The sequence below is a fragment of the Homo sapiens genome, chromosome 4 (genome assembly GCF_000001405.40).
Source record: "Homo sapiens chromosome 4, GRCh38.p14 Primary Assembly".
NCBI classification, from domain to species: Eukaryota; Metazoa; Chordata; class Mammalia; order Primates; family Hominidae; genus Homo; species Homo sapiens.
In genome coordinates, this window is record NC_000004.12 from 141,727,455 (window position 1) to 141,737,112 (window position 9,658).

At 35.7% G+C, this 9,658-nt stretch overlaps 1 protein-coding gene across 3 annotated transcripts in view; it reads left to right on the plus strand.

The window, feature by feature from the left end:
• IL15 (interleukin 15) overlaps nucleotides 1-6,533 on the plus strand; it is a 97,405-nt gene extending 90,872 nt beyond the window's left edge. For all 3 annotated transcript variants that reach the window (NR_037840.3, NM_172175.3, NM_000585.5), the window contains 3 exons: nucleotides 486-530; nucleotides 2,393-2,530; nucleotides 5,284-6,533. Coding sequence is in view for 2 of the 3 variants with exons in the window: in NM_172175.3 (NP_751915.1) it covers nucleotides 486-530; nucleotides 2,393-2,530; nucleotides 5,284-5,394 (294 nt within the window). In the remaining variant the exon portion in view is untranslated. The remainder of the gene's footprint in view (nucleotides 1-485; nucleotides 531-2,392; nucleotides 2,531-5,283) is intronic.

The window sequence follows — 9,658 nt, forward strand, 5'->3', positions numbered from 1 at the left end:
AGTGGTTGCCAGAATTTAGAGAGATTGGGTGATGATGAGGTATGTATGGGGAGAAAGGTGACTTTGGTTATGAAAGAATAGCAGCAGAATCCTTGTGGTGATGAAACTATTTTGTGTCTTAACTGTGGTGGTGGTGATGTGAATCTATGCAAATGATAAAATTGCATAAAACTTCACACATATGCAAGCACACACACTGTGGCACATAAAACTTGTGAAATCTGAACAAGGTGAGTGCATTGTATTAATGTCAATTTTCTGATTGTAATACTGTACTGTGGTTATGGAAGACATTACCACTGGGAGAAGCTTGTTGAAGGGTACACAGGATCTCTCTGTATTTACTCTTACAGTTTCATATGAATTTTAAATTATCTCAAAATAAAAAAAGAATTAAAAACAATTTAATGTTTTCAGTAGGTTGTTCTCATAATATTTAAAGCAGGGCATAGTTTTTAATATTGTCTAATTTTGTTTCCTTTCAGTCTATGCATATTGATGCTACTTTATATACGGAAAGTGATGTTCACGTGAGTATACTTTTTTTCAAAATTGCTATTTGTCTTGTTATTAAAGTTTTTAAAAGTATATTTTTGTAACAACTAAAATATGGTAGTTTTAAAATCTAACTTTTGGTGTGTTTCTATAATATATGGTCAATGAGTTTTATTAGTGATTATTGAGATGGGACTTGGGGACAGATAGCTACATCAATGCTATTTTTGTAATGGTGCCAAATCAAAATATTAAAAGAGTCTTTTCCATCAATGTCAAACAAGATACATTATACGTTTTTGTGATGCAGTTGCATCATGGTGCAATTAGATGCAAAAATCAGATTAACTGTTTCAATTTAAGAGTAGCCAATATATCAGTTATTTCCAATGCTGTAATGTATCACCATCTGCAATCATATTTTCCATAAATTGCTTAAAATCATTCATGTTCTGCATTTTACATGATTCTCTACATTTGTCAGAAAAAGATTCTAATTATTCTCTATGTGAGAAAGGAAACATAACCCATGAAACTTATTAGAACTGAAAAATGGTCTTGAACTTGTTTCATTAATACCCTGACATTTCCTAAGGAATGTAGGATTTGTCATGTTGGTGGTGGTTCTTCCCTTCAGTATTGTTACTAAAACCAAGAAATGAATCCCCAACTTCACGTCAGGGAAAACAAACTCTATGTCCTCTCTCCATTATTCCTCAATTAGAACTTCTCTTACATAGATGACTTTCTAAGCATTGGAAAGAAACCATAGTCAGAAACTAGAAAAAAGAGATATTCACTAACCAATTGGGTCATGCTGCTGCACAAAGAAATTGTCTCCCTCCTCTGGCTTCAGCATGGATTCTGTTTTTCTTTGCATTTTTTGTAAAATGGAAAGTAGTCAATTAGCCACCAAATTCAGCATCCTGAAATTGCTTTTTTGCAAGAAGATAACTTTGCAACCCATGGGTTAGAGAAACAACCTTAGATTTTAGATTTTAGATTTTAGAAGTTTAGATTTTAAAACTGACTCCACCACTTTTTACTTGTGTTACCTTGGAGATTGCTAAACATTTCTGAAGCTCATTTTTATTATTGCTGATATGGTGACAGTATTTGTCTTTCAATCCTAAGCAGTGACTGTTGGGTTTAAGGAATATTACCAGTGCTGGGCACATGGGTGTATTCCTTCATTTTTTTTATCCATTCAGTAAGCATTTGTGAAGTGTCTGCAGGCTCCCAGGTACTGTGCAAGGTATCGAGGACACAAAGTCAAATAATGGTCAAATCCCTAGATATTCCTTGTTTCCTTTCTTTAAGTTATTGTTAAAGTAAATGTTGTGGAAAACATATTTTTGTGGCACCTAAGAGAGCCTTTTCTGATTTGATCTGCCTGTAAGTGGACACTAGTCCTGCTTTGATTTTTCTAATAAATTTCTTGGAATTACTTCTCTCCCTCTGGAACTTTGGAACTTGAAAGAACAGTATAATTAGCAGCTACCACTATTTAAAATGTTAACAACACAATTTGATTCTAAAAATTCTTACAAATAAACTGTCTATATTGATGTTTTCAGACTCTAAGGCCAGTATTATTACCCTTTCCACAGGGGAAATGTGCTCGGTGAGAAAAACTGGCCACTATTTCTGCATTTTCTAGTTTCATGTTCTTCTGTACAATATTGCCATCCTTCTTGATTGTGTTTTGTTGGTTTGTTTTGGTTTTTATTTTAAAGCCAAAAGAAAAAAAATTAAGCTGCCTCCTATGTAAAATTTCTTAAGGATATTGTGTATCTTTATAAAATATTTGGATTGACTTTTTGAAAATCAAAATTACATCAGTATGAAAATTAATAATCAGAAAAAAGTAATTGTTCTTTATAACTTTTATTTTTAGCCCAGTTGCAAAGTAACAGCAATGAAGTGCTTTCTCTTGGAGTTACAAGTTATTTCACTTGAGTCCGGAGATGCAAGTATTCATGATACAGTAGAAAATCTGATCATCCTAGCAAACAACAGTTTGTCTTCTAATGGGGTGAGTTTTCCAACAGTTGCTTAGAGTTGCATCTTATGTTTTGGGCCTGATTTGGAGAAGTCATTCATGGACAAGCAGATCCTCCTAAGGGGCAATCAGGAGAAGGAGTCCTGTTCCAGTGGAGTGGTGTGCAAAAGTGGCACCATCTCCAGCATGCACACAATGCTAAACTGTTCAATGATTGATTCAGTAGACAAACATTTACAGAATAATGCCAGGTAGTGTGCTTCAGTGCTAGAATTATAGTTGCAAACCAGACAGACAGGTCACTGACCTCAAGGTGTTTATTGTCAGGTGCAGTGGATAGACATTAATCTAATTACATACTCAAATGTCTAACATCAATAATAGTAACTCACATTTATTGAGTTATTACTGTATGCCAGACACTATTCTTTGAGCTTTAAATTGATAATTCATTTAATCCTCATGATAAATCTGTGAGATAGTTATCTTTATTTCTGTTTGAATGTTGAAGAAATTGTAGCACTGAGAGCCTGGATCACTCGCTTCAGTTCATACAGCTAGTAAAATGGGGAGCCACAACTCTTACCCGAGCAGTCTGTCTGCAGAGTCTGTTATCTCATGAGAAGATAAATGCTTTAAAAAGATAACAATGAAAATATTAATGATTCGAGTATAATCTGGGACATCCCAGGCAACTTGAGCAGTAGAGGGTTCCAGGAGAGCAAATTCTAGGTACTCGTATGATAGGCTGGGGAATCAGCTGTGCAATGGCCCTGAAGTGCAAAGAATTAGGGCTTTCATGGCAAAACACCAGTGGCCAAAGCAAGGTAGAGAGAAAGCAGTTTTGCAACAAAGAGGCATAATCAAATTAGTTCATTTCATAAATACTTTTTAGCCCTCAGGAGACAGTATGAAAAAATACCCATAATCCCTGCTGTTAAAGAGGGAGGAAACAGAAATAAACCAAGCACTCAGCAAATGAGTAATAAGTTAGTTATTTATGAAGTCCAGTGGTGAAAAAGGACACAGGGTAGGGGCACTGGGGCTCCAGTTAGGGTAGGCTGAGCTAATAAGCTGCCATTTGACAAAGATGTGAGAGAATGAGCCTTAAGGGTATCTAGGGACATATGTTTAGGCAGAGACAACTGAAAGTGCAAAGGCCCTAAGCTTGTGTGGGTGGACACCTTGACTTTTCTCTAAAAATACAAGACTGCTTTAGGTCTTTGCTTCAGTGTCACCTTCTCAGTGATTTACCTATTTACAGTTGCAATCCCTTCCCTATCTGAGCACTCCCTGTCCCCTTCTCTGCGTGTCCCATATCTGGAATATGATATATTTTATGTAATGGGTATTGTCTGTTTTTCCCTACTAGAATGTCAGCTTAAAATGGACAAGTGTTTTTGTTTTTTATTAGTACTATATCCAAATTCCCAGAACAGTGTCTCATATATATTAAATACTTTACATATGTATGAAATGAATTTATTAAGGTTTATAATACTCTTATGATGTTATCTCCATCTTATTGGTGGAAAGAGTGAGCCACGCAACAGGTAACTCATGGCAAAATAAATGATGAGCTCTTTAATGTGAATGTTGATAGTCATCCTCATCATGACAGAGTGTGACATACGTGCTGGAATGCGTGGGCAGGACTGCACAGTCAGAAGACCTGGATGGGAAGAATTTCAGTTGATTATGTCAGTTGAGATGAGTCAATATCTCTGTCTTCCTATCTGACATGATTATTTTCAGGATCAAATAGGACAGCATTATATGAAATATGACAGTGCTTGGCATAGAGGATGTGCTTGATAAATGTCGCTGATTCTGAATTCCAAATAGTTAATGGATATAAAATCTAATTTTTATTTTTGCTGGCACAGCCTTCATGGTTCAGATGATCTCTAAAAAGTTTATTCTTAATTGCTACATTTGGAACATTCTAGTTATCCATGAGACTGTGTTTGAAGTACAACAATTTGTGGTATTCACCTAAATGGCTCAGTTCAACCAATGGGTGATTACAGTGTGTCAGGCCCTGTGCTAAATGCTAGGGAAACAAACATACTGGCTCTGACCTTCTGGCAGAGAGCTTAGAGAATAGTATTACAGTATAAAAAGAGTAAAACTTCATAATATGAATAGAATACATGACATATTGTGAGAGAGGTCTAAATAAGGGGTTCTGAGATGTAAAGATGGGACATTGAGTCCAGCCCTAGGAGCCCAGGGGTTCAGAGAAGCCTCCCTAAAAGAGTACCTGAATAATCTTAAGTGCGAGTAGCAGCAGCTAAAATAGGAATGAATGTAACAGAGAGAAAAGCAAAGGCAGAGAGGCATCTAATAGTATGCTGTGCATGGCAAGGAAAGCCAGATGCTCACTCAGTGTTTCTAGGGCATAACATTGAGGCAAGGGGGATATGTGAAATAAATAGGTAAGGAACAGCTCATGAAGAGCCTGTGTGCTATGCAGGGAGGCATGGTCTTTATGCTAGAAGCAGATGATAGGAAACCATTGAAGGGCTCAAAGCAGGAACTCCGTGGTCTGATAGACACAGCTTATTTTTCTCAATGTCCTTAACCCATTATTGGAAAAATAAACATATATCAAATCTCCCTGTTCTCTTTCCTCGTAGTTCTTCCTAATATGCTATTTATTTGCTAAAGCTTTCATATCTCAAGACCTCACCATATGGTTCAAACGATATGATATTCCCATTCCCATGAATGTATATTTAATTTAATTATAAATTGCCAATTTAATCTCTCTCTATATTTTGCAGAATGTAACAGAATCTGGATGCAAAGAATGTGAGGAACTGGAGGAAAAAAATATTAAAGAATTTTTGCAGAGTTTTGTACATATTGTCCAAATGTTCATCAACACTTCTTGATTGCAATTGATTCTTTTTAAAGTGTTTCTGTTATTAACAAACATCACTCTGCTGCTTAGACATAACAAAACACTCGGCATTTCAAATGTGCTGTCAAAACAAGTTTTTCTGTCAAGAAGATGATCAGACCTTGGATCAGATGAACTCTTAGAAATGAAGGCAGAAAAATGTCATTGAGTAATATAGTGACTATGAACTTCTCTCAGACTTACTTTACTCATTTTTTTAATTTATTATTGAAATTGTACATATTTGTGGAATAATGTAAAATGTTGAATAAAAATATGTACAAGTGTTGTTTTTTAAGTTGCACTGATATTTTACCTCTTATTGCAAAATAGCATTTGTTTAAGGGTGATAGTCAAATTATGTATTGGTGGGGCTGGGTACCAATGCTGCAGGTCAACAGCTATGCTGGTAGGCTCCTGCCAGTGTGGAACCACTGACTACTGGCTCTCATTGACTTCCTTACTAAGCATAGCAAACAGAGGAAGAATTTGTTATCAGTAAGAAAAAGAAGAACTATATGTGAATCCTCTTCTTTATACTGTAATTTAGTTATTGATGTATAAAGCAACTGTTATGAAATAAAGAAATTGCAATAACTGGCATATAATGTCCATCAGTAAATCTTGGTGGTGGTGGCAATAATAAACTTCTACTGATAGGTAGAATGGTGTGCAAGCTTGTCCAATCACGGATTGCAGGCCACATGCGGCCCAGGACAACTTTGAATGTGGCCCAACACAAATTCATAAACTTTCATACATCTCGTTTTTAGCTCATCAGCTATCATTAGCGGTAGTGTATTTAAAGTGTGGCCCAAGACAATTCTTCTTATTCCAATGTGGCCCAGGGAAATCAAAAGATTGGATGCCCCTGGTATAGAAAACTAATAGTGACAGTGTTCATATTTCATGCTTTCCCAAATACAGGTATTTTATTTTCACATTCTTTTTGCCATGTTTATATAATAATAAAGAAAAACCCTGTTGATTTGTTGGAGCCATTGTTATCTGACAGAAAATAATTGTTTATATTTTTTGCACTACACTGTCTAAAATTAGCAAGCTCTCTTCTAATGGAACTGTAAGAAAGATGAAATATTTTTGTTTTATTATAAATTTATTTCACCTTAATTCTGGTAATACTCACTGAGTGACTGTGGGGTGGGAAATGATCTCTTAAGAATTTGATTTCTTTCTATTCCATAGTACAAACTCGTTCTCTGTTGAAACATTCTTCTATCACCCCAGTGCCCTATCCATGTACATGTGTTCTTATTGCTCTAGTCAAACGGTGCTTATAAATATCTTTCAGAAAGTTTAGGAGAAATCTGTATCCTATTTGACTTCCAATAATCATGTATTGGCTGTCAGCTTCTTACCTACTCTCAGTCCAGAGAAATAGTATTTGGCAGCCACTCTTTAAAGTTTATGGGTTGTGGATTGTGGCGGTTGATTTATTTTTTTTATTTCAATTGGGATAGAATTTTTTAATATACCTGTATTTTTGTTTTGTTTTATGTAGCTTTTCTATTAGGGAGAGTAGGAAAAGTGCACCATTTTCTTCTCTAAATTTCCAGTCCAGTCTTTAGGGGAATGTTAGTCTTCCTGAGATGGGGGAAGGAAAATCATAATGCCAGTCACTTTGCAAATAATATTTTATAGTGATAAATGGTTCATTTTGGTTACATAGGCATACAAGTGGGCTTAAAACTTGGAATTTACCAGGGCTCAAAATTAAAATTCTTACATTAGTTACTCGATATGGATCGCTTCAGTTGATCTTAGAAAACTCAAGGCATAGATCTGCAACCACTTTAAAATACTATTAGTTAACTGAAGAAACAAAATAATAGTGTAAAACAATCTAAATTTTATTTTTCATGCTTATACTCTTTACAAAATCAGTCTTTCAGATTTTGGATTCAAAATCTGCCTGTTTGAACTATCTTCCTTAATTAACCCACTCAGTGTCATTTGCCTAGAGGATACTGTGTTTATGTCTCATTTACTGCCTTAATTGCTGAAAATATCGTCCATGTAGAACATATAATAAAGAAAGCACAGAAACGTATACTTAGAAACTCAAATAGTAAAGGTAAGCGTAACAATATGATATACAGTTCAAAGTTATATTGATGAATTTTGTTTTTATCTTTTCTTAATTTCAGGAAAGTAAAAGACATATGAAAGAATATTATCTCTACATTCTCCCTGGCGATGAACAAAAAGGGCTAGAAGGCAGAGGACATGGAAATGTAAACAGAACCAATATATAATTGTTGAGCCCAGGCCGGGCACGGTGGCTCACGCCTGTGATCCCAGCACTTTGGGAGGCCGAGGCGGGCGGATCACGAGGTCAGGAGATCGAGACCATCCTGGCTAACACGGTGAAACCCCATCTCTACTAAAAATACAAAAAATTAGCCTGGTGTGGTGGCAGGCACCTGTAGTCCCAGCTACTCGGGAGGCTGAGGCAGGAGAATGGCATGAACCCAGGAAGTGGAGCTTGAGTGAGCTGAGATCGCGCCACTGCACTCCAGACTGGGGGAAAGAGCAAGACTCTGTCTCAAAATAAAATAAAATAAAATAATTGTTGAGCCCAGAGAATTTTAAAGCCTAATCACAAAGCTAGTATTATATACTCTCATTTTTTTAATCTTAGAAGGGTAAGTCACAGAATGACTTTTTTCTTTTGCTACTGTTGTTGTGAGAGAGGATCACGTGTTTTGATGTGCTACTGTTTATGACCATCAAATTCAATAACTCATAAGGTCAACCAACATATACAATATGAAAATCAAGTAGTGTGGCTGTTCCTTCCCTTCTCCCCCAACTTAGCACAAAAATACTAGAGAATGCATTTTAGTTCCTTCATCTTTGTTATGTCAGACTTAGCTTAAGCTCTTTGCATTCCTTGTGAGCCATGGTTAAATGTATGCATGCCATATATAAATATTTTGCACAGAGAAAATCTCATTTCCATAGAGGTTTGGTTCAATGTTTCTGAATGTGTCTGATGACTGAATTGTGTCCTTAGTAAGAAATTGGTTATGCAAGGTAAACTTTAGCTTCATTAAACAGTGTCCTAATTGTAATTGTATAATCTATCAGATGACACACAGAAGAAAAATTAATGAATTATTAATAAAGGCTAATGATTTTATTCTATATTTTACTTCTTCAATGCTGTACTTCAAAATGACAATTAGAGGAATTGAAAAGGAAATTGTTAGACAAGTAGAATTGAAAATTCTACAAGTAATTTATACAAAGTTGTCAACACTTTCAGAATATGGTCATCAGAGAATCCAGAGTCACCCAACAGGTGATTTGTCTTCATCATCATCCTCACTTTTTTTTTCATTAACAAATTCTCTCCTTTAGTCATATTGAAAGCATCATTCTTGAAAACCTATTATATGTGAACATTATGTTAGATGCTACAGTTCTAGCTGTGAATAGAAAGCCATAGTCTCAGCCTTCACAGAGATTGCATTTCAGCAGAAGAGCCATATTATCAAAGTAATAACTTGAGGACTTATTCACTTACCATCATTTCTAATGAACACCACCAGAAGAACATATAATTGGAGGATCTGATTCATTCAAGGTATCAGAATTTCTTTGAGAAAGTGATATCTGAGGCCAACTACGAATTATGATTAGGACTTATCTGGGGTGAAGTGGGAAGAGTCCACCAGCAAAACAGCTTACCAAAACCTTCAGTCAGGAAGGATCATGGCATTTTCATAGAGTGGAAGGAATGACAGTACAGCAAGGCTAAAGGAAAGAACTAAAGAGGAAGCTGGTAAGAAAAGTATCAACTGGTTAGGGTCTAGTAAGAATTTGCTGTCTGACCAAAAGAAATGAGACTTACTCTGAAATGCATAAAATATATAGAATGTATTATTTTACCATCAAGAAAAGAGGTGAAGTCAAAATTCCCTTACCACTAAATCCCAAGTTAATAAAATAATTTCTAATAACAACATCTTACATGGGCCTCATCATTGCAGTCATTTAATGAATTCTTTTCAACTTAATGGACATAAACTTCAGCAAGTAATTATCTGCTCGCTGTCCAAAACAACAAGCCTTTTTGTAGTGTATATAGTTTGAGAGGCTGAAGTCAGGACAATTAACATATGAATCCATAACTGGGGAGGAGAGCTGAGGAGGATGATGGAATAGCTCTCTTCAGGGATTGCCTCTGCCCACAGAAAGATCAATTTGAACAACTATCCATGCATGAAAAT